A 24,466-nucleotide genomic window follows, 5' to 3' on the forward strand; every position below is an offset into this window, starting at 1 on the left:
ATAAATACTTTAAAAAGTACACCGTCTCGAGATCACAGTGAAACCCTGTCTCTACTAAAAAAAAATACAAAAAAAATTAGCCAGGTGTGGTGGCGGGCGCCTGTAGTCCCAGCTACTCGGGAGGCTGAGGCAGGACGATCACTTGAACCTGGGAGGTGGAGGTTGCAGTGAGCCGAGATTGCGCCACTGCACTCCAGCCTGGGCCACAGAGCAAGACTCCGTCTCAAAAAAAAAAAAAGTACACTGTCTGGGCTGGGTGTGGGGGCTCACACCTGATATCCCAGCACTTTGGGAGGCCGAGGTGAATGGAACACTTGAGGTCAGGAGTTTGAGACCAGCCTGGCCAACATGGTGTAACACTATCTCTACTAAAAATATAAAAATTAGCCAAGTGTGGTGGCGGTCGCCTGTAATCCCAGCTACTTGAAAGGCTGAGGCAGGAGAGTCGCTTGAACCGGGGAGGTGGAGGTTGCAGTGAGCCGAGATCAAGCCACTGCACTCCAGCCTGGCAATAGAGCGAGACTCCATCTCAAAAAAAAAAAAAAAAAAAGTACACTGTCTGGCTGGGTGCAGTGGCTCATGCCTGTAATCCAGCACTTGGGAGGCTGAGGAGGGCGAATCACGAAGTCAGGAATTCGAGACCAGCCTGACCAACATGGTGAAACTCGGTCTCTACTAAAAATATAAAAGTTAGCCGGGTGTGGTGGCACACGCCTGTAATCCCAGCTACTCGGGAGGCTGAGGCTGGAGAAGCGCTTGAACCTGGGAGGTGGAAGTTGCAGTGAGCCAAGATTGCACCACTGCACTCCATCCCGGGCCACAGAATGAGACTCAGTCTCAGAAAAAAAAAAATAAATTAATAATAATAATAATAATAATAAGGCTCTACAGCTAGATTGCTTGGGTTCAAATTTTGGCTCTACCACTTAGCAGCTGCTGTGACCTTGAGATATTTAACATCTCTATGCCTCCATTTCCTCATCTGTCAAATGAAAGTAACAGTTTCACCTCAGATCCATAATAAATGCATTTTAAGTAAAGGACTTAAAACAGTGCCCATTCTATAAGCACTCAGTAAATTTGAGCTGTTGTCCTCACACAATTATGTAACACATACATATACATGTTTCTATATATGCACAGGAGAGAGTAGAAGCACAGTCACCAATCTGGGTGGTTGGAATAGAACAATCTATTTTCTCTTTCTCCCTTTTGTTTATCTGTATCTTCTACATTTTCTACATTAAATAACTACTGTCTTTATAATAAGCCAAAAATCTTTTTCTCAAGAAAGGGCACCAGGCTGAGTCAGGAGTCCTGGTTTCCAGCAAGATCCATAATAAATGCATTTTAAGTAAAGGACTTAAAACAGTGCCCATTCTATAAGCACTCAGTAAATTTGAGCTGTTGTCCTCACACAATTATGTAACACATACATATACATGTTTCTATATATGCACAGGAGAGAGTAGAAGCACAGTCACCAATCTGGGTGGTTGGAATAGAACAATCTATTTTCTCTTTCTCCCTTTTGTTTATCTGTATCTTCTACATTTTCTACATCAAATAACTACTGTCTTTATAATAAGCCAAAAATCTTTTTCTCAAGAAAGGGCACCAGGCTGAGTCAGGAGTCCTGGTTTCCAGCAATATTACTAATCTCTACAAAGGAGTGGCTGGAGTAGACAAGGTGTCCTCTATCTCTAAAATGGAATGGTTCTCTAAGATTTATGGTGGGATTTGGCAAAGCTACACCCTTTGTTTTGTTTCATTTTTCTGTCAATACTTACTGTCTGCCTATCAAGTACCAGGTGTTGTGGACACAGAAAGGTGAAACACCTGCCCAAATGGAGTTGACACTACAGGCTGTTCAAGAAACGGAGACAGCCTTGTAACTATTTATACAATCCCTCAGCATGGTAAGTGCTCTGATGAGGACAAAGAAGAGGGGACCTTGCTGGGGCTGGAGAGTTAGAGAAGGCCTCCAGGAGGAGAGAAGGCACCTGCACTGAAATCTAAAATCATTTTTGTTTAAGTCAAACCAAAAAGATGGGAAGGGCATTCCAACCAAAGGCAGAGGAACGCACAAAAGCAAAAGTTATGAAAATAACAATTACTTGAGGAATGGAGAATAGAGAGAAAGAGAAATAGAGAAAGGTCATTTGGACAGCAGTGTGGAAACAAGGAGGGACAAAGACAGCAGCAGAGAGGCTGGTGAGGAAGAGGAAAATAATCTTCAGAAATCATATGGGTCAGGCTGGCTCACGCCTGTAATCCCAGCACTTTGGGAGGCCAAAACAGGTGGATCACAAGGTCAGGAGTTCGAGACCAGCCTGACCAACATGGTAAAACCCCATCTCTACTAAAAATACAAAAATCAGCCAGGCTTGATAGTGCACGCCTATAATCCCAGCTACTCAGGAGGCTGAGTCAGGAGAATCGCTTGAACTTGGGAGGCGGAGGTTGCAGTGAGCTGAGATCGCACCACTGCACTTCAGCCTGGGCAACAGAGACTGTCTCAAAAAAAAAAAGGAAATCGCATGGGGTAGTAAATCTTTTCTTCTTATGTAAAAGGCTACATATGCCATAAACAAACCTGATAAATATTAGTTTAAGATGTACCTTGGCCGGGCACAGTAGCTCACACCTGTAATCCCAGCACTTTGGGAGGCCAAGGCTGGTGGACTGCTTGAGCTCAGGAGTTGGAGACCAGTCTGGGCAACATGGCAAAACTCAGTCTCTACAAAAAAATCTTTTTAAAATATTAGATGGGTGTAGTGGCGCATGCCTGTAGTCCCAGCTACTCAGGAGGCTGAGGTGGGAGGACTGCTTGAGCCTGAGAGGTGGAGGGTGCAGTAAGCCAAGATCACAGCACTGCACTCCAGCACCTGGGTGACAGAGTAAGACCCTGTGTCAAAAAAAAGAATGCACTTTACTATATTTACAAATATAGCATGCACTTACAAAAATTTACCAAACAAAATGTCAGCATGCTTCTATTTTCCACAGTTAACGGTACACACTTCATATATATATATATATATATATTTTTTTTTTTTTTTTTTTTTTTTTTTTTGAGGCAGGGTCTCACTCTGTAGCTCAGGATGGAGTACAGTGGCATGATCACAGCTCACTGCAGCCCTGATCTCCTGGGCTGAGATGATCCTCTCACCTCAGCCTCCCAAGTAGCGGGGACTAAGGTACAAGCTACCATGCCCAGCTGATTTTTGCATTTTTTTGTAGAGATGAGGTTTCACCATGTTGCGCAGGTTGGTCTTGAATTCCTGGGCTCAAGAGATCCACCCACCTCAGCCTCCCAAAGCGGTAAGATTATAAGCATGAGCCACTGTCCCCAGCCTCATTCAATAAATATTTGTTGAGTATGTGTCATGCATATGGTAGGTGCTGAGGGAGAAGACAGACACAGACAGTAAACAAATGAACCATCAAAGCACCCAAGACAACCAACCAGATGTCTTTTTGTATGGCCAAGACCTATGCAGATCTCTACCTCTCAGGAGCAGGCCACAGGCAGGATGATACAGTGGCTAGGAATTTGCACTTGAAATCAGACAGACCTTTGTTTAAATTTTAGCTCTTATCACCTGTTGCCAACTCTGGTTTTGAGTAAGTTACTTAACCTCTCTAAGCTTTCATTTCCTTACCTGAAAATAAAGATAATATGACCAAATTTATACGGTTTTAGGGTGAATTTAATCAATCAATCAATAATCAGTGTGTTGGGTATACAGAATGTTCAGCCAATCGTCCCTTTTATTTTATTATTAATTTTCCACTTTTAGAACAGACAATGATGTCCCACAACACAGACAAAAATATTCACAGGGTAGAAAAAAAGGGAAAGAAAGGTATAAAAATGATCTGTTTAACATTTCTAAATTCACATCTTAGTGAATTCACAACCGTTTTTCTCGTAAAGATGTCATGCTTGGAACTTACATTCCTTTAGGATTTCTCAAACTGTTAACATCTTGTCTGCATTACATGACCTAGTAAATTAAATAAAATCTATCACCCAAAATAGGGAACCAGCCACAATCTCTCCCTGGATTCCTTGTTCTGATTCTCTGACTAATACTGAGTCATTTAAAGAACACAGACAACACAGAGCACTGATAAGCAGTCTGAACACAAAACTGAGGAGCAGAGGTGCCAGAGCACACTATGGACTGACCACAGACTACAAGCAGAACTTTCTGAAACAGAAAAATCAAGATAAAAGGAGAGTTTCCTAACTGGCTGTAACTTGAGTAATTATGCCTTCCAAGAGAAAAGCAGCACAGAAATTAACATATTTCTCAAGCCAGAAGAAAACTTTTTTAAAATTTTAATACCTCCTTATCTGTGAAAAAAAAATTTTTAACCAAATTTTAAAACTCCTTCCTCCCTATAATTACATCCTCAAAAATGTTTTAACTACCTCTTAAAATGTTTATTTCTTACAAATGACTCTGTAAGCAACACTGGTCATTTAAAGATTTTGAAGGCATACATAAAACACAAAAAGAAAATGTCTTCTCTGTGACCTGACACCTTAAGGGTCAAACTGATTTTACTTCAACTTTCACCATAAATTTCCCTTTGTATTAAAACCAGGTGTGACACTTCAGCCCAAAAACAAGTATTTAAGAAGCAGAGGAAACCTGGACAAGATTTTCAAGTAGACCTTTTTTTTTTTTTTTTTTTTTTTTTGAGACCGAGTCTCACTCTGTCCCCAAGGCTGGAATGAAATGGTACGATCTCGGCTCACCGGCTCACCGCAACGTCCGCCTCCAGGGTTCAAGCAATTCTCCTGCCTCAGCCTCCCTAGTAGCTGAGATTACAGGCGCTCACCACTACACCCAGCTAATTTTTTGTATTTTTAGTAGAGATGGGGTTTCACCATGTTGGCCAGGCTGGTCTCGAACTCCTGATCTTGTGATTTGCCCACCTCGGCCTCCCAAAGTGCTGGGATTACAGGCATGAGCCACCGCGCCCGGCCCAGTCTATGATTTTTTTTTTTTTATGCTTCATTAAAGTAAAAGTCTATGCCTACAAAGAGAAATAATAACATACTTTCATATTGCTTTCTTTTTTTTTGTTACAGTTTTTATTTTTTTTATTTTTTTTTTAACATTTCATTTTTTATTTTTTTTATATTTTTATTTTTTTTAATTTATTTTTTTATTGATAATTCTTGGGTGTTTCTCACAGAGGGGGATTTGGCAGGGTCATGGGACAATAGTGGAGGGAAGGTCAGCAGATAAACAAGTGAACAAAGGTCTCTGGTTTTCCTAGGCAGAGGACCCTGCAGCCTTCCGCAGTGTTTGTGTCCCTGATTACTTGCGATTAGGGATTGGTGGTGACTCTTAACGAGCATGCTGCCTTCAAGCATCTGTTTAACAAAGCACATCTTGCACCGCCCTTAATCCATTTAACCCTGAGTGGACACAGCACATGTTTCAGAGAGCACCGGGTTGGGGGTAAGGTCACAGATCAACAGGATCCCAAGGCAGAGGAATTTTTCTTAGTGCAGAACAAAATGAAAAGTCTCCCATGTCTACTTCTTTCTACACAGACACGGCAACCATCCGATTTCTCAATCTTTTCCCCACCTTTCCAGCCTTTCTATTCCACAAAGCCGCCATTGTCATCCTGGCCCATTCTCAATGAGCTGTTGGGCACACCTCCCAGACGGGGTGGTGGCCGGGCAGAGGGGCTCCTCACTTCCCAGTAGGGGCGGCCGGGCAGAGGCGCCCCTCACCTCCCGGACGGGGCGGCTGGCCGGGCGGGGGGCTGACCCCCCAACCTCCCTCCCGGACGGGGCGGCTGGCCGGGCAGAGGGGCTCCTCACTTCCCAGTAGGGGCGGCCGGGCAGAGGCGCCCCTCACCTCCCGGACGGGGAGGCCGGCCGGGCAGGGGGCTGACCCCCCCCACCTCCCTCCCGGACGGGGCGGCTGGCCGGGCGGGGGGCTGACCCCCCCACCTCCCTCCCGGACGGGGCGGCTGGCCGGGCAGAGGGGCTCCTCACTTCCCAGTAGGGGCGGCCGGGCAGAGGCGCCCCTCACCTCCCAGACGGGGCGGCTGGCCCAGCGGAGGGCTGACCCCCCCACCTCCCTCCCGGACAGGGCGGCTGGCCGGGCGGGGGGCTGACCCCCCCACCTCCCTCCCGGACGGGGCGGCTGGCCGGGCAGAGGGGCTCCTCACTTCCCAGTAGGGGCGGCCGGGCAGAGGCGCCCCTCACCTCCCAGACGGGGCGGCTGGCCCGGCGGAGGGCTGACCCCCCCACCTCCCTCCCGGACAGGGCGGCTGGCCGGGCGGGGGGCTGACCCCCCCACCTCCCTCCCGGACGGGGCGGCTGGCCGGGCAGAAGGGCTCCTCACTTCCCATTAGGGGCGGCCGGGCAGAGGCGCCCCTCACCTCCCAGACGGGGCGGCTGGCCGGGTGGAGGGCTGACCCCCCCACCTCCCTCCCGGACAGGGCGGCTGGCCGGGCAGAGGGGCTCCTCACTTCCCAGTAGGGGCGGCTGGGCAGAGGCGCCCCTCACCTCCCAGACGGGGCGGCTGGCCGGGTGGAGGGCTGACCCCCCCACCTCCCTCCCGGACAGGGCGGCTGGCCGGGCGGGGGGCTGACCCCCCAACCTCCCTCCCGGACGGGGCGGCTGGCCGGGCATAGGGGCTCCTCACTTCCCAGTAGGGGCGGCTGGGCAGAGGCGCCCCTCACCTCCCAGACGGGGCGGCTGGCCGGGCGGGGGGCTGACCCCCCCACCTCCCTCCCGGACGGGGCAGCTGGCCAGGCGGGGGGCTGACCCCCCCACCTCCCTCCCGGACGGGGTGGCTGGCCGGGCTGAGGGGCTCCTCACTTCCCAGTAGGGGCGGCCGGGCAGAGGCGCCCCTCACCTCCCGGACGGGGCGGCTGGCCGGGCGGGGGGCTGACCCCCCCCACCTCCCTCCCGGACGGGGTGGCTGCCGGGCGGAGACGCTCCTCACTTCCCAGATGGGGTGGCTGCCGGGTGGAGAGGCTCCTCACTTCTCAGACGGGGCGGCTGCCGGGCGGAGGGGCTCCTCACTTCTCAGACGGGGTGGTTGCCAGGCAGAGGGTCTCCTCACTTCTCAGACGGGGCGGCCGGGCAGAGACGCTCCTCACCTCCCAGACGGGGTCTCGGCCGGGCAGAGGCGCTCCTCACATCCCAGATGGGGCGGCGGGGCAGAGGCGCTCCCCACATCTCAGACGATGGGCGGCCGGGCAGAGACGCTCCTCACTTCCTAGATGTGATGGCGGCTGCGCTCCTCACTTCCTAGATGGGATGGCGGCCGGGCGGAGACGCTCCTCACTTTCCAGACTGGGCAGCCAGGCAGAGGGGCTCCTCACATCCCAGACGATGGGCGGCCAGGCAGAGACACTCCTCACTTCCCAGACGGGGTGGCGGCCGGGCAGAGGCTGCAATCTCGGCACTTTGGGAGGCCAAGGCAGGCGGCTGCTCCTTGCCCTCGGGCCCCGCGGGGCCCGTCTGCTTCTCCAGCCGCTGCCTCCCGGGCGGCGCTCGCCGGCGCGGCGGCAAAGACTGAGACAGCTCCGCTGCCCGCTGAACTCCATCCTCCCCCCATATTGCTTTCTTTTATTGGTGGTTTACAATCTCCTTTATGAAGATAGTCCTCTGTAGATTAACTGTCACGCTTCCAGGAAACGCTAGGATCTTTTTTCCTTCCTAGTGTCACAGAGGATACCTACTTGCTCCCCTTCTCCACTTTTCCCATCCCCCTTCCCCAATACACCCACACACCCTCATCTACGCACAGGGAAACCAGCAGCTAGTAAAGCTTCTGAACAACCTGTGCCTCCCTGCTCTGCTCTATTCTGCTTAAAGGCCTCCAAGCTGTACTGTGTATCATCAAGAAGAGTCTAAAGAAACCACAAAGGCAGGTTCTTCACTTTAGATGCAGAACTGAACTAACAAGGCTAGAAATCTGTTCATTTGTGCTTCACCACAACTGTGTGATCATCCCATAATGTATCACCATTTACTCTTTTTAAGTGGTTCAGATGTCACCAGACAATTAATTTCTCCACATTATGAACTGTCAACAAAATCAGAAATGTAGTCTGGGGGCCAGGCATGATTACAGGCGTGTGCCACTATGCGCAGCTAACTTTTGTACTTTTAGTAGAGACAAAGGTTTTGCCAAGTTGGCTGGGATGGTCTCGAACCCCTGGCCTCAAGTGATCTGCCCGCCTCGGCTTCTCAAAGTACCGGGATTACAAGTGTGAGCCACCGTGCCCAGCCTATAATGTTATTTTTAGAGTGGAGTGTCCTTTATCACATATACTTAGCTTGAGACTCCGATATTATTGATCAACAACAAATAGTCTTTATCAAGGCTGTACTGCAAAGAAGGCATCAGTGTTTCCCAGGATACTGGCTGGGCGCAGTGGCTCACGCCTGTAATCCCAACACTTTGGGAGGCCAAGGCAGGTGGATCACTTGAGGTCAGGAGTTGGAAACCAGCCTGGCCAACAAGGCAAAACCCTATCTCTACTAAAAATACTTAGCCAGGCATGGTGGCGCATGCCTGTAATCCCAGCTACTCAGGAGGCTGAGGCAGGAGAATCCCTTGAACCCAGGAGGCAGAGGTTGCAGTGAGCTGAGATCGTGCCACTGCACTTCAGCCTGGGCAACAGAGCAAGACTGTCTCAAGTTTAAAAAAAAAAAAATTCCCAGGATACTTAAAAAATAATAAACTGCCTGAAACTTCATAGATTAATTCAAAAGATTCAGTTAAATTTATATAAAATTAATTTCACAGCTTTAAATGTAAATGGTAAATAAAGTTCAAAACTGAACTGAGGATGATGAGCCTTCTCTGCATAAGTTCATTATTTTAAGAAAACAAATATTTTATAATTGAAAATTAGATATAAAAATTCATAACTGACTACCTAATTGCTTTGTGGCTGAAAAAAAATTAACCTAGACTTCTCAAATTTCTTAAGACTCAAGTTCTTGTAGCTGGGCATAGTAGCTCACATCTGTAATCCCAGGTACTTGGAAATTTAAGGCAGAAGGATCACCAGAACCCAACAGTTCAAGGCTGTACTAAGCTATGATCACATCACTATACTCCAGCCTGAGGAAGACCTGGTCTCTAAAAAAATACAAAGACTTAAATTATCAGATAATCTCAAGATAAATGCTATATCTAATCAGAAATTAGGCCATGGCTGGTTCCAAACAAGTCAGTACATCACATCAGCCTTTCTGTTAGGAAACAGTACCTTTTCTGATTAATAAAACCAGATGAGTGGTGAAAAACAATTTAACATTACTTCTAATTCTAATATTTTTATGAAAACAAGGAACTGAAAATTATTTTCTGAAACTAGATCTTAAAACTTCACCCACACAAATGTAAGCAATCTAAATGACAAGGAAAGAAAGAGGAAAGCAGTTACTTATGTAAGTGAGAAACCTGAAGAGGATTTGATCAGAATCCTCAACTTAGAATGAACCTCAAGATGTGTGACAAAGGCCATGCCACTCTTTTTTAAATTATGAAACATTCCAAATTGGAATGAATTCTCTGGATATAGTATCTTTGAGGAAACTCAGTCCCGCCACCCCTTCATGTCCATCATCTTACAAACATGGCTTAAAACTTACCTATTCTAAGAAACCTTCTCAAAAAGCTGATCCTCTACTTGCTGTACCTTCAGGATAAAGTTTCCTCTTATTTTGTAGCATAATGACTATATCTATCCCCAACCGAATGCTAAGCTCTTTGAGGAAAAGGATTAGCCATGTTGTTTACTTTTTTTGGCCACAAAATAAAACAGAGCTCTATGCAATGGATACTCAATAAACATTATCAGATACTCACAGCATCTAGTCCACTGTCTTTCAACAGATGCTCACAAATTACTGAATTCTTAGTAATTTATCATCATTGCCAACTTTCAGGCAAAGGGAAATGGAAAGACCTCAAACTCAAAATTAGCCCCTGCTAACGATAACATCTAGACTGTAGGGATCGACATTTATGTCAAAATGAAGTTAAAAAATTATCTATGAGTCTTATCCATCCTCTCTCATACTGTATCTAATCAAGAGACTACATGGCTTAATAGTCAGGTGTTTTGAGGTCAAGGGTTTAAACTCTAACTTCAGCATTTATCAGCTAGGTTCCAGTTTCTTGCAAAGTAAAATTTTACTTATCTTAAAGAATTGCTATTGGAGTTAAATGACATAACTACTTAAAGTGCCCGATACAAGAGAAGTAGTCAATACATGGTAGCTAATCTTACTGTTCAATAAGTAATGCCATGGTTTGAATATGTCCCCTCCAAAATTCAGGAGTTGTCAACGTGATAGTATTAGGAGGTGAGGCCTTTAAAAGATGATTAGGCTATGAGGGAACCTCCCTCATGAATGGGATTAAAGCCCTTATTAAAGAGGCTTCACACAGCTTTCGGGTGGCTTGCCCTTCTGCCTTATGCCATATGAGGACACAGCGTTCTTCTTCCCCTGCAGAGGATGCAGCCCTCACAAGACAACCAAACCTGCTGGTTCCTTGATCTTAGGACTTCTCAGCCTCTAGAACTATGAGAGATAAATTTCTGTTCTTAATAAATTACCCAGTGTCAGGTATTCTGTTGCAGCAGCACAAAATGAACTAAGACAATTATAAAGAAAAAGTAGATATAACATAGATTATATTATTAAAGTGCATTGGCCAGGCGCGGTGGCTCACACCTGTAATCCAGGCACTTTGGGAGGCCAAGGCAGGTGGATCAACAGGTCAGAAGATCGAGACCATCCTGGCTAACACGGTGAAACCCTGTCTCTACTAAAAATACAAAAAAATCAGCCGGGCATGGTAGCGGGCGCCTATAGTCCCAGCTACTTGGGAGGCTGAGGCAGGAGAATGGTGTGAACCCGGGAGGCGGAGCTTGCAGTGAGCCGAGATTGTGCCACTGCACTCCAGCCACTCCAGCCTGGGCGACAGAGCGAGACTCTTATCTCAAAAAAAAATAAATAAAGTGCATTATGACACCAATTCTTTGATAAAATATAGTATATAAAATATAATCCCTTCTTGAATGTGATCTGCTTCCCACTGTAGTGAACTTCCCCACAAAAATGATCTCTGCAGTAAGGTAATTTGCCAAGTAGTCTAGAAAATAAGATTGTGCACAGATGCACACTTATACTTCCCAGCATAACTCAGTTTTATGCAATATTTACATATTAATGGGAACTGAACACCCAGCTCTTTACTATTAAGAAACTGTGGTATTTATCCCCAATATCTTACAATCTACGTCTCACTGGCATTTGAAGGAGATGTGGCTTCTTCAGTGCCCAACGAGGTTGGATGTTCAGGGACTTATTCCAACCTACTTGTTAAGAATCTTAGGCAAATAATAATTCTCTAAATGGGGGGGTGATGAATCATGACTTTATTCAACTAGCTCATTCTGACTGCTGCATTTATCAACTACTGTTTTTCTATATACCATGTCTCTAAAACTAATGACCCCCATTTATCACCATTTTCACTGTTTAAGGAGAGTTTAAAAATATAGTAGCATAATACTATTAGCAAACAGCTAACCGAGTGTACTAGCTACCAGCAAGCACATGTGACACACAAAAAGTGCTCTATAAAATATGTCAATGAAATATTGCTGAATACACCATTATTTTAATTCTTCAATGACCACATATAAGAAATGCTGATTCTGCTTATTATGGTTGGTGAATTCTGACTAGGATACATTACGGTCTCCAATGGCACCTTGTTAAAAGCTGCTATGCCCCAAGAGAAGCATACTACAATCTTAGAAACTTCTCCTTTGGCCAGGCATGGTGGTTCAAACGTGTAAAACCAGCAATTTGGGAGACCAGGCAAGTGGATCACTTCAGTGCAGGAATTTGAGACCAACCTGGGCAACAAGGCAAAACCCCATCTCTACAAAAAATACAAAAAATTAGCCAGGCGTGGTGGCATGCATCTGCAGTCCCAGCTACTTCAGAGGCTGAGGCAGGATAATTACTTGAGCCTGAGAGTTCGAGGCTGCAGTGAGCAGTGATTGCACCACTGCACTCCAGCCTGGGTGACAGAGTGAGACCCTATGTCAAAAAGAAAAAAAAAAGAAACAAACAAACTTCCCAGCTGGGCGCCAGGGCTCACTTAAGCCCAGGAGTTCGAGACCAGCCTGGGTAACATGGCAAAATCCTGTCTCTAAAAAGAATACAAAAAATTAGAAGGGTGCCTGCAGTCCTAGCTATTAGAGAGGCTGAGGTGGGGGGATCACTTGAGCCTGTCAAGGCTGCAGTGAGCTATGACGGTGCCACTGCACTCCCACCTGTGTGACAGAGCAAGGCCCTCTCTGAAAGAAAAAAAAAAATTGTCCTAGATTAAGAACCACTGGGTTATTTCAAGGACTAAAGAAGTTGATTTAGGCCAGATGCAGTTGCTCACGCTTGTAATCCCAGCACCTTAGGCCAAGGTGGGTGGATCACGAGGTCAGGAATTAGAGACCAGCCTGACCAACATGGCGAAACCCCGTCTCTACTAAAAATACAAAAATTATCCAGGCATGGTGACACACACCTGTAGTCCCAGCTACCAGGAAGGCTGAGGAATGAGAATTGCTTGAACCCGGGAGGCAGAGGTTGCAGTGAGCCGAGATCAAGCCACTGCACTCCAGCCTGGGAAACAGAGCAAGAGAGAGCAAGACTCCACCTCAAAAAAAAAAAAAAAAAAAAAAAAAAAGGAGTTGATTTATATATAAAGTACGTAGAACAGTACCTGGGCACAGGTGCTGTTACTAAGATTAGCACAGTGGCTTCTAGGGAAACATAAGTTTCTCCTAGCAGCAATTGAAGACAATTAGATTCGTCCCCAATTTGATTAAGTAAACAACAAAAATTCAAATAAATCACAGATGCTGATAGGATGTGAAAAAATGTGTTTGTCTATTCCCAATAAGATTTATTTACGTGCTGGGCACAGTGGCTCATGCCTGTAATTCCAGCACTTTGGGAGGCCGAGGCGGGCAGATCATTTGAGGTCAGGAGTTCAAGACCAGCCTGACCGACATGGTGAAACCCCACGTCTATTAAAAGTACAAAAAAACTAGCTGGGCGTGGTGGTGCATGCCTGTAATTTCAGCTACTCAGGAGGCTGAGGCAGGAGAATTGTTTGAACTCGGGAAGCAGAGGTTGCAGTGAGCTGAGATCATGCCAGTGCACTCCGGCCTGGGCAACAGAGACAGACTCCGTCTCTCAAAAAAAAAAAAAAAAAAAAAAAAAAAGGATTCATTTAGACTCATTACCACTTTCTATGGATATAATGTATTCTGTTCATACTGAAATCTTTGGCCTCACAGTTGAGGTTGTCTCTCAATTGGAAGTTTCTTTAAGGTGGAAGAATGTTAGTAATATGTTCTTTCCATTGTAACTGTGGTTTGAGGGTACTTTTTTTTTTGCAAAGTAAGAGTCTGGCTTCTGGCTGGGCATGGTGGCTCACACCTGTAATCCCAACAATTTTGGAGGCCAAAACAGGAGAATCACTTGAGCTCAGGACCAGCCTGGGCAACATAGCGAGACTCTGCCTCTACCAAAAAAAAAAAAAAAAGAACTTGGTTTCTAAGATTATCATATGCTTTGTGTTCACGGTAGCTTTTAACAAGGTGCTGGTATCAACAGCTCAACCCTCAAACATCCATGCTAACAGCAGAAAATACATTGCACAGAAAGAAAAGATGGTAGACAGTATCTTTTAGAGTGGGCAGGAATGCTTGTATTTGTATTTAGTACTGAGTAATTATTTCCAATTTTCGAGGAAGTCACAAAGCTGCCACAAATTGTTTAACTATACAATTCTTCCTTTGCCAGGGTCCAGTGCCTGCTCAGCTTATCATTTCATACTGGCAAACAACTATACAACTTTTCCTCATCTGTGATACAAAGATTAAAATAAGCAGAGGTGGTCACATTCTAAATATTTCCTGGTTCACACCTTCCCCTATTAGGGAAATCACTTTTGGGCACAAAAGATCATCCATTCTAACTCTTACTGGGCAAATATCTTGTTTGTGTCAACTAAGTATTTTGTACACAGAATATAATGCCAATATCATTAAGTATTTGAAAGAAAGATTTGTCAAAAATATCCCTGTTATGACCTACTCTTAGGATAATCCAGGATTGATAAAAAGCCAAATTCTCCCCATAGCCGAAAGAGGTTTGCCTCAGCCTAAGGCTATTTTCCCTAAGTGAGAGTTTCTAAACTTTCTGGTGAGCTTCTCTTTCTCATCCAGCTGGTCAAAGTTTTCTGATAACAACATACCACACAACTGAAAAGCTAAGTTTCTCGGCCTGAATTTTTGTTTATACCTGATAGAAGCTACTGCTTTCTCCTAGTGGAAATTCAAAATACCTAAGTTTATCTCCAGAAAACTCTTCAAATACTTTCAGTAATCTAATGGCAACAGCTTTGCTACTAAAAATTTCCCAACATCTTCCTGTTTGGGCAGGTCTTGCTGAAATCCCCCTCCTCATAAGGAGGAATTTGAGAAAAAATACTGCCAACTTCAAGTTCCCTTAGGCAAATTTCCAGCCCCAGTGCAAGGCCATGAGGTTAAACATTTCTCAATGACGCAGGCTCCCTCAGAGGGAGGAACAAGAAAAAAAAAAAAAATCAAAACGTATTCTTCCCACTGCAGTAAATCAAGAAACAGCAGCCAAGTACTTTAAAAAAAAAAAAAAAGTGAAGTTAATACTGTTTGCTCTGCCAAGGCCCCCAGTGGGAGTACAGAACCCAAATGAGAGCTGTGGGATGAGAGAAAAAGAATTGCAGAACCAGCAATCCAGTCAAATTGACAGATATGTCTCCAGATTCTCTAGATAGTCTCTGGAGTACCAATACAGTGTAAGGTCCCAGCCACTGTATAATTTACAATAACTAGGACAACTAAAGTAAAGTGATTGAATTAGTGGCTGGGGGTAAGGAATGGTGTCACACATTAAGCAAATCATGATTCAGGATTAAAATGTACATTAGGTGAGAGGCCGGGAAAACTAAAGGAAAGTACATTTAAGCAACTTCTCGGTGAAGGAATATATAAGGCTGATCACAAAGAAGGCAAGCTCATGTGAGGGGCTGGTAGGGTTCTTGAACCTCTGGCCACCTGCAGATAAATAATTGATTGAAATAAAACCCGAAATGTTCTCCAGAAACAGATTAATACAAAACAGAATTTTAGAGTTCAAAAGGTCCTAAATGCTTACAAGAAAATGCCAGTGATGAAAATATCATGTGTACAGTGCTTTACTTCTCAAAGTGCTTTCACTGAATCATTAAATAAAAATTATTATGTACCTGCTATGTGTTAGGAACTGGCAATACAGAAATTGGATACCACCCCTGCTTTAAAGGGGCCATACTTCTAACAATGAGACCTGCTAGGAATGAAAATGCAGCAAACAATCAGTCTTTGGTGGTATGCAGTAAACATAAGGAGAGCACAGCAGAAGGGGCACCGAAGTTTCTGGGGGAATCAAAGACAGCACACATCTCAGAAGAGACAGCCCTTGAAGTGAGGCCAGAAGGCTGGCAAGCAGAAAGACTAACGGTTATATGCAAAGGAATATATGTGCTTTTTTTAAAAAAAGCACGAAGTGTTCTGGGAACCAAAAGCTGGTCAGTACTGCTGGGGACTGTGAGTTTGGAAGTGATATGAGATAACCACATAGTCAGAGACCAGACAAATAAAATAGCTTAAGTTTTACCCCACAAGAAATGGAAGAATTCTGAGCAGGAGAAAGAAAATGATTAGAATTGGTAGTTAGCGAAAGTATCTTGGCAGCTGAATGGACAGATTGGAGGAGAGTTGAACTATAGCCAGGGAGCCCAATAACAAGTCCCCTGAAACCACAGAGAAAAATGCTGACAATATGATATAGGGCAGAGAGACAAAATATAAGAAGTCAAGGTAGAGGTAAAATCTAGAGAACTCACAAGTCAAATAGATATGACAAGTACAACAAGAAAGGAGGAATTGAGACTGACTCCTAATTTTCTGGCTAGGGCAACTGGCACTATAAATTAGGGAATGCAGGTTGGGAGTAGTCACTGAGAATGGCGATATCAGTTTTAAGTGCACACTAGTCATTTAGATGTCCAGGTGGGAAGAATTAGTGGATTAACTGAATCTAGAACTCAGTAAACAGGTCAGGGATATAGATACATATACACGTATCACATGTGAATACCTTTCCTATTTGGAGGAAATTCTAAGACGGGGAAAGGCAGTCACCTTTTCCCACTACAGGAACTGACAGTAACAGAAATTCCCTCTCTCTGTTCCCTGGCATCTAGTTCACAAATATATAACCCAAGTCAATCAGATCCTCCTATGTAGATCTTTGAATATTGAAAGAATAACACAAAGGTGGAAAATATAATCAGAAATTATTCATGGCACTGTGGCAAGTGCCTACTGGTGGCAGTGCCAGTAGTAACAGATGTTCATGGGAGACCAGGCCAGCAGCAGTGGCAGAGAAGGTCCAGCAAGCAGTGCTAGAGAGAGTCCTCAGCCAACTGATCCCATTACATGGTCTTTACTATGTCTTGCCTCACTCAGTTTCTGCTCATTTTCTGAACTGTGTTATCCAGCCTTCCTTTTAAGGCTGTGCACTATCCAATACTTTTCCAATATATTTATTTTATGCTTAGGTGAACCAAGATTATGTGAAAAATCCTGAGTAGTACAGAACGAGGAGGGAACATAGAACAGGTGAGATGAGGCCTAGAATGGGCCCACTATATAGGGTGACTAGTAGGTCACTATGAAATTAGTTCATATGTGTCATCTCCTTCCATCCTTACGGTCCCTTGTGAGGAAAATAAGGCCAAGTACCATATCTTTATTTTAGGATAAATAAACTGAGGCTAAAAGAGATTAAGATCATACAGTTCTTTTTGCTATCCAAGAGTGTCCTCAAAAAAGTTGTTTTACAGGTGCTCATCAAAAGGAGATGTTAAATGAGCAATACTAATTCTTACAGCAAATGTCAATGGACACAGATGATAACCACACATGGGTCCCAATGCTGGTCTTCCAGCTTCTTCAATTTTGGTAATATAAAGAAGATCCTAACAGAAGCATTAAATTCCTTATAGACAATCACCTAGAAACATACCTAATGAGGATCCTTGCCATCATCCTTCCACTCAGGGTACCTTGGTTACTACTGAAAGAATACATCATAAGCTAAAGGGATTCCTCAAGTGGAAGAAAGGATCATCTATCCCTAACCATGAGAACCACTGTGGGAATGAGAGGTTGAGAGCTTTCGAAAGATGATTATTTCTCAACTTCATTCCTTTGGGATATGTCACAGCCAGTAAGGGAGAAATTGGAAAAAGCAGCTTTCACAAGCTGCCAAATCCATGTCCTAGTCCCAAGGGATAATTAGCCAGTGAGGTTTTGTGGAGCTGATGTAATGTTGGCAGAGGCTAATGTTTTATGGTTGAACATGTAGCCTCTTGAGTTTTAGCTACAGGGCTAAAAGGATGACATCCTGAAAAGCTAAGAAATTCATACCCATAACACCACCACTTCGCAATGTGCATCTTAAAAGTAATTTGTAAACTTTAACTGATCCATCTTTATCATGATTAGTTATGAACATTTGTTAAACTATAAATTCTCTAAATTTTATTTTATGTAACTATTTTGCTATGAAAAGAAATTTCTAGGTAACACAGACAATTTAGAAAGCTTAAAGTAACAAAATAATTAGAAGAAAGGAAAGTTTTACAAGGAGTGAGTCTGTTTGTGGCACTTTCATCCCACTACCACCACACCAAGTTTAAAGCCATCTGATGAGCTTATGAAAACAATTTTTGAAACTGAGTAGTCTAAGCCAAAAGTGTTCAGGAGTACCAAATCTCTCACAAAAAGTGTCAATCTTAGAAACCTTAGAAGTATTCTGAGATGCAGGAGGTAAGAATTAACGGACAAGAAGCAGAAATATTAAAACACTAACACTCTTGGTTTGAGTTTGAGCTGTTAAACTTCTTGCAGGCCTGGCACGGTGGCTCACGCCTGTAATCCCACCACTTTAGGAGGCCAAGGCGGGTGGATGACCTGAGATCAGGAGTTCGAGACCAGCCTGGCCAACATGGTGAAACCCCATCTCTACTAAAAATACAAAAATTAGCTGGGCATGGTGGTGTGTGCCTGTAATCCCAGCTATTTGGGAGGCTAAGGCAGGAGAATCACTTAAACCCAGGAGGCAGAGGTTGCAGTGAGCCAAGATCACACCATTGCACTGCAGCCTGGGCAACAAGAGCGAAGACTCCATCTCAAAAAAAAAAAAAAAAGAAAAAGAAAAGGAAAAGACAAAATGCTTGCCATTTAAAAAAAAAAATGAGTCCTTTGACTTAAATATGCCACAATGATCTCCAAATCCTGAACAAAACTAAGTACATTAATAAAAAAATAAAATCACTAATCAGTAAGGCAAAATATGTAGTGCTTTTAAATATGTGCTAGCTCCTTAATAAGAGACAACTTTTGGGCTGGGCGTGATGGCTCACATTTGTAATCCTAGCATTTTTGGGAGGCTGAGGCAGAAGAATCACTTGAGCCAGGAGTTTGAGACCAGCCTGGGCAACATAGTGAGAGCCTGTCTCTAGTTAAAGTAATAATTTTTTTTTTTTAAGTTAAAAAGAGGCCGGGCACGGTGGCTCACACCTGTAATCCCAACACTTTGGGAGGCCGAGGCAGGCAGATCACCTGAGTGAGGTGAAGAGATAGAGAACAGACTGGCTAATACGGCAAAACCCAATCTCTACTAAAAAATACAAAAAAATTAGCCAGACATGGTGGCATGTACCTGCAGTCCCATGTACTCGGGAGGCTGAGGCAAGAGAATCGCTTGAACCCAGGTTGGCAGTGAGCCAAGATCACGCCACTGCACTCCAGCCTGGGCAACAGAGCAAGATCCCATCTCTACAAATAAATACATAATTAAATAAATAAATAAATAATAAAAGTTAAAAAGAGAAACCTCTGATTCAACTCTGGGGAGAGGTGTATCCATTCAGGAATGTGGATATGAAAACTGTGGTTTATATATCTTTATAATTTCCTAAGAATTGAGAATCATGTTTCTTAAAATGAATGGTGGGGAGGGGGGAGTTACAGATGGCCAAAAACAAAAATGTCCCTCCTACATTTTTTTTTTTTTTTTTTGAGTCAGAGTCTCACTCTGTCGCCCAGGCTGGAGTGCGATGGCATGAACTTGGTGCACTGCAAGCTCCACCTCCCGGGTTCAAGCAATTCTCTGCCTCAGCCTCCTGAGTGGCTGGGATTATAGATGCAAGCCACCATGCCCGGGTAATTTTTGTATGTTTTTTTTTAGTGGAGACAGGGTTTCACCATGTTAGCCAGGCTGGTCTCAAACTCCTGACCTCAAGTGATCCACCCGCTTCGGCCTCCCAAAGTGCTGAGATTACAGATGTGAGCCACCACGCCCAGCCCTTCCTACCTCTTACAAAGGAACGGTTTGTACATGCTCTTCAGGGAAACATTTCTTTGGAGAAATAGTTGGGTTGAAGGACCTGGACACAGAATGAAATGGTTTCTCCTCAATTTCTCCAATATTTCTTCCTTTTTTTTTTTTTTTTGAGACAGAGTCTCACTCTGTCGCCCAGGCTGGAGTGCAGTGGCACGATCTTGGCTCACTGCAACCTCCGCCTTCTGGGTTCAAACGATTCTCCCGCCTCAGCCTCCCAAGTAGCTGGGACTACAGGCAAGCAGCACCATGCCTGGCTACTTTTTGTATTTTTAGTAGAGACGAGGTTTCACCATATTGGCCAGGCTGGTCTCCAACTCCTGACCTTGTGATCCACCTGCCTCACCCACCCAAAGTGCTGGGATTACAGGCCTGAGCCACTGTGCCCGGCCTTCTCCAATATTTCATATTCATTTATTTCATTCATTAACATATGTTTACTCAGCATTTACTATGTATCAAGCACCCTAATAAAATCCTGGATATAAAATGCTAAAACAATAAAAATAAGACACCTGCCTTTATAGCATTTACAGTCTAGTGAGAAACATATACATTTAAAAACCCCCAAAAATCTCATAAAATAATCACATACTAGGCCGGGTGTGGTGGCTCATGCCTGTAATCCCAGCGCTTTGGGAGGCCGAGTCAGGTGGATCACTTGAGGCCAGGAGTTGGAGATCAGCCTGGCAATAGAGCAAAACCCCATCTCTACTAAAAATACAAAAACTGGCTGGGCGTGGTGGCATGCACCTGTAATCCCAGCTACCTGGGTGGCTGGGGCACGAGAATCGTTTGAACTCAGGTGGCGGAGGAACCTAGAAAACAGAGAGGCAGATGGAACCTAGAAAGCAAAGAGAAAACAGCAGCAGGTAAAGTTGAAGAGGTAGGCAGGAACAGAGAAAATGCAGCCATGCATATCAGGAAACTCGCCTACCAGTATATAAGGACAAATATTGACTGCAGGACTAGATATTATTTAACCCCTTATTCTGAACTACCTAAACCAGAATATAATCCCTGTGCAGATGGCGACCACATTTTCAGTAGATTCTCAAACAACTTCCACGCAACATCTAGCACGTGACAAATTCTGTACACACACACACATAAATATACTATTTCCTCAAATTCAAACTTTTCTAAAAACATCCAAACTACCTACCTTAGTTGGGATTAAACATATATTTAGTAACATTGAATCGGTTGACCAAAAGCCTACATGCAAGAGGATCTTCAGGATAAAGCAATGGAAGATTATTTGCAAACATCTCAAGGACTGACTTAGCTGATATAAAACTCAGCTGTTAAGAAGTTTCTGGGCTAGGCACGGTGGCTCATGCCTGTAATCCCAACACTTTTGGGAGGTCAAGGTGGGTGGATCACTTGAGGTCAGGAGTTCGAGGCCAGCCTGGGCAACATGGCGAAATCCTGCCTCTACTAAAAATACAAAAATTAGCCGGCTGTGGTGGCAGGTGCCTTGTAGTCGCAGCTACTTGGGAGGCTGAGACAGGAGAATCACTTGAACCTGGCAGGTGGGGGTTGCAGTGAGCCAAGATTACACCATCACACTCCAGCCTGGGACACAGAGCGAGGGACTGCCTCAAGAAAAAAAAAAAAAAAAAAAAAGGAAAAAGAAAAAAAAAAAAAGTTTCTGAAAGCCTTCTCAGAAGAGAAGGAAGAGAATAAGCAAGGGAACTTTTTTCTTACCAGAGCCAACAAGGACCTTCACACAGCAAATGTTCCTACTCTAAAGATATACAGGTTTAATTTTAATTCCAACCCACAGAAACTATTAGCTACAACGGAAAAAATGTCTAATGTACGTTTATGGCAAGACACGCTAGAAGTTTTCCTTAGTTTCAAGCATATGACACTGGTTTTGGCCATAGGTATAGAGTCAGAAATATTACTAGACTGTAATTCAAAACAGCATCCCTTCTAATCCTTGTGAACAGGTACAACAGTCACAGTTAAAAACAAGGAAGCTTCTATGCAAAGGTTAGGGCTCATCGTACAAGAGCTTTTTTTAAATGTCAAATTTATTTTTTAAAAAAGAAGGCCATTCCTATGCAGAAAGAAGGTCTAGGACAACATAATTTTTTTCTTTTTTTTTTCCTTTTTTTGAGACAGGCTCTCACTCTGTCACCCAGGCTGGAGTGCAGTGGTGCAATCACAGCTCACGGCAGCCTCGACTTTCTGGGCTCAAGCAATTCTCCTGCCCCAGCCTCCCAAGCAGCTGGGACTATAGGTGTGCACTGCCACGCCTGGCTAATTTTTCATTATTTGTAGAAATGGCAGTCTCACTATGTTGCCCAGGCTGTTCTAGAGCTCCTGGACTCAAGCAATCCTCCTGCCTTGGCATCCCAAAGTGCTGGGATTACAGGTGTGAGTCACTGTGCCTGGCCCCTTAAAATACATATTCTAAAAGAAGAAAAAGTTGGAGGTTTTTTTGTTTTTTACATTTACGTTGTAGTGTTCTGGCAGGGAAAGATAAAACAGGAAGGGAAGGGGGACTAAAAAGTCAGGTAGGCTAAGTACTGGGAGAATGGAGCAAAGGAACCTCGACAAGTTAGAACAGCCTATCAACAGCTAACATACAGGGTCCGAAAAAGGGCTTGAAGTTCACATGAAAGGCAATATAGTATAGTGGTAAAGAGCACAGATTCTTAACCCAGGCCAGCTGGGTACAATCTTAGCCGTAAAATGGGATAAGAGCACCCATCTCACATAGTTGTTGCAAAGAATAAGAGTTAATATACGTAAGGAGCTTGGTACACGGTCTGCCACACTGCAATGTTGTGATTTATAATAAATATATATTTGGTCTTTGTCTTCACTCCTGGCACCGAGGTCCTAAAATTGGACCTTGAAATTTCCTAAGAATAACAAAGGTAAAAGGAGTCGTCTTTTGTTATTCATAACAGGTCCCTTTCAACCAAACCTGAGTTTATGTTAATGAGCTGACTTTGGAAAGCCCTTATGGATGAGGGCTGGCTGCCAGGGAAAACAATCATGTGTTAGAGGATTAGAACTTGCAGCCCCACCATACTCTGACTTCTGGGGATGCAAGAGGGGCTGGAGATTGACCTACTCATCAATGGCCAATGATGTCATTAATCATGCCTACATGATGAAGACTCCATAGAAACCAAAAAGGACAGGGTTTGGAGAGCTTCCAGACTGATAAACCCAGATGGTGCTCTGGGGGTCGTATGCCCAGAGAAGGCATGGGAGCATCACATAACCCCCTCATAGCTCACCCTATGCTTCTCTCCCATTTGGCTGTTCCTGAGTTTTATCCTTTATAATAAATTGACAAATTTAAGTAAAGGGCCTTCATAAGTTCTGTGAGTCGTTCTAGCAAATGATCCAACCTGAGGAGAGGCTTGTGGAAACCTCTGATTTGTAGCCAACTCAGACAGAAGTTGTGGATAACCTGAGGACCCACCACTATCGATCGGCATCTGAAGTTCAGGGAAATCTTGTGGGCCTGAGCCCTTAACCTGTGGGGGTCTGCACTAACTCCAGGGAATTAATGTCATAATTGAGTTAAATTGTAGAATATCCAGTTGGTGACCAGATGGTTGGAGAATTGGTTGTTGGTGAGGGAAAAAAAAAAACAAAACCTACACATCTGATGTCATCAGAGGTGGAGTGTTGAAAGGAGTAGTAGAGTACAGAAAAAAACAAAACAGGCCAGGCACGGTGGCTCACGCCTGTAATGCCAGCACTTTGGGAGGCCGAGGTGGGCGGATCACAAAGTCAGAAGATCGAGATCATCCTGGCTAACAAGGTGAAACCCCGTCTCTACTAAAAATACAAAAAAAATTAGCTGGGTGTGGTGGCGGGCACCTGTAGTCCCGGCTTCTCAGGAAGCTGAGGAAGGAGAATGGCGTGAACCCAGGATGCGTAGGTTGCAGTGAGCCAAGATCATGCCACTGCACTCCAGCCTGGGCGACAGAGTGAGACTCTGTCTCCAAAAAAAAAAAAAAAAAAAAAAAAAACCAGTGTCTGTCTTTCCTCTTCATGCACTGTAAACTCTAAGTGTTAGCTATTATCATTTTAAATATATTTATTTTTGCTGGAATTCTTACAAAATCCACTTAGAATTCGATATTCTAGACATATGTCTCTTTTATGTTTTCGTGATTTTTGTTTTGGAGGCTTTTGGTGGTGGTGGTGGTGGTTTTGTTTTTGGGGTTTTTTTTTTTTGAAGCAGGGTCTCACTCTGTTGCCCAAGCCAGAGTGTAGTGGCAGGATCTTGGCTCACCGCAACCTCTGCCTCCCGGTCTCAAGGGATGCTCCTGCATGATCTCTTTTAATAAAGTTAGTCTAATCTGTGCTTAAGGGAAACAATAAAAAAGATGTGTCCACCTGTGAGGCAGAATTTTAAATGGAAAACTACCCCTGAGTTTAGGCTTGGTGGGACCCGAAAAATGAGTGAGGATGGGTACATGGCGTAGAAGGAAATTTGAGGATAAAACTCAGGGCCACCTATAGAGATGGTCCTTCTCACTTAGAGACTACCCTCTAGAACTCTTCTCAAACCTTGGAGGGTTTTGTGTAATATTTCATTTAGTCAGCTCACTTCTTGGAAAGAGATCAGGGTTGAGAGATGAAGGCGATGTTGTTTTAGCGTTACCTACCAGTGCTGCCCTCTCTTCTCATGCTTGCTTACTTCCTTCAGGAGTCATTTTAACTCCAACCTCCTTGTGTCCAAACTGGCTCAAAGCACTCCAAAGTGGAGGTGAAAGGCAATCACGCTGATTTGTTATACCCAATTTGAGACATTTTTCTGTTGTACATAAAAGCAAAAAAGAAATAAAAGCAATAGAATGTTCCATAAACTTAAAAAAAATGTTATAACAATCACAC

The 24,466-nt window shown here is 44.2% G+C and overlaps 1 protein-coding gene across 4 annotated transcripts in view, besides 2 other annotated features; it reads right to left on the reverse strand.

Moving 5' to 3' along the window:
* MRTFA (myocardin related transcription factor A) overlaps positions 1-24,466 on the reverse strand; it is a 226,431-nt gene that overhangs the window by 84,938 nt on the left and 117,027 nt on the right. The window lies entirely within an intron of this gene.
* Positions 3,209-3,708: an enhancer, noted in NCBI's record as "H3K27ac hESC enhancer chr22:40894439-40894938 (GRCh37/hg19 assembly coordinates)". NCBI's record gives its function as "activates a minimal SCP1, AML or CMV promoter by ChIP-STARR-seq in primed H9 embryonic stem cells {active_cell/tissue: H9 hESC(primed)}" and the evidence as "EXISTENCE:reporter gene assay evidence [ECO:0000049][PMID:30033119]".
* Positions 15,359-15,903: an enhancer, noted in NCBI's record as "H3K27ac hESC enhancer chr22:40906589-40907133 (GRCh37/hg19 assembly coordinates)". NCBI's record gives its function as "activates a minimal SCP1, AML or CMV promoter by ChIP-STARR-seq in naive H9 embryonic stem cells {active_cell/tissue: H9 hESC(naive)}" and the evidence as "EXISTENCE:reporter gene assay evidence [ECO:0000049][PMID:30033119]".

Source organism: Homo sapiens, chromosome 22, assembly GCF_000001405.40.
Source record: "Homo sapiens chromosome 22, GRCh38.p14 Primary Assembly".
Taxonomy (NCBI): domain Eukaryota; kingdom Metazoa; phylum Chordata; class Mammalia; order Primates; family Hominidae; genus Homo; species Homo sapiens.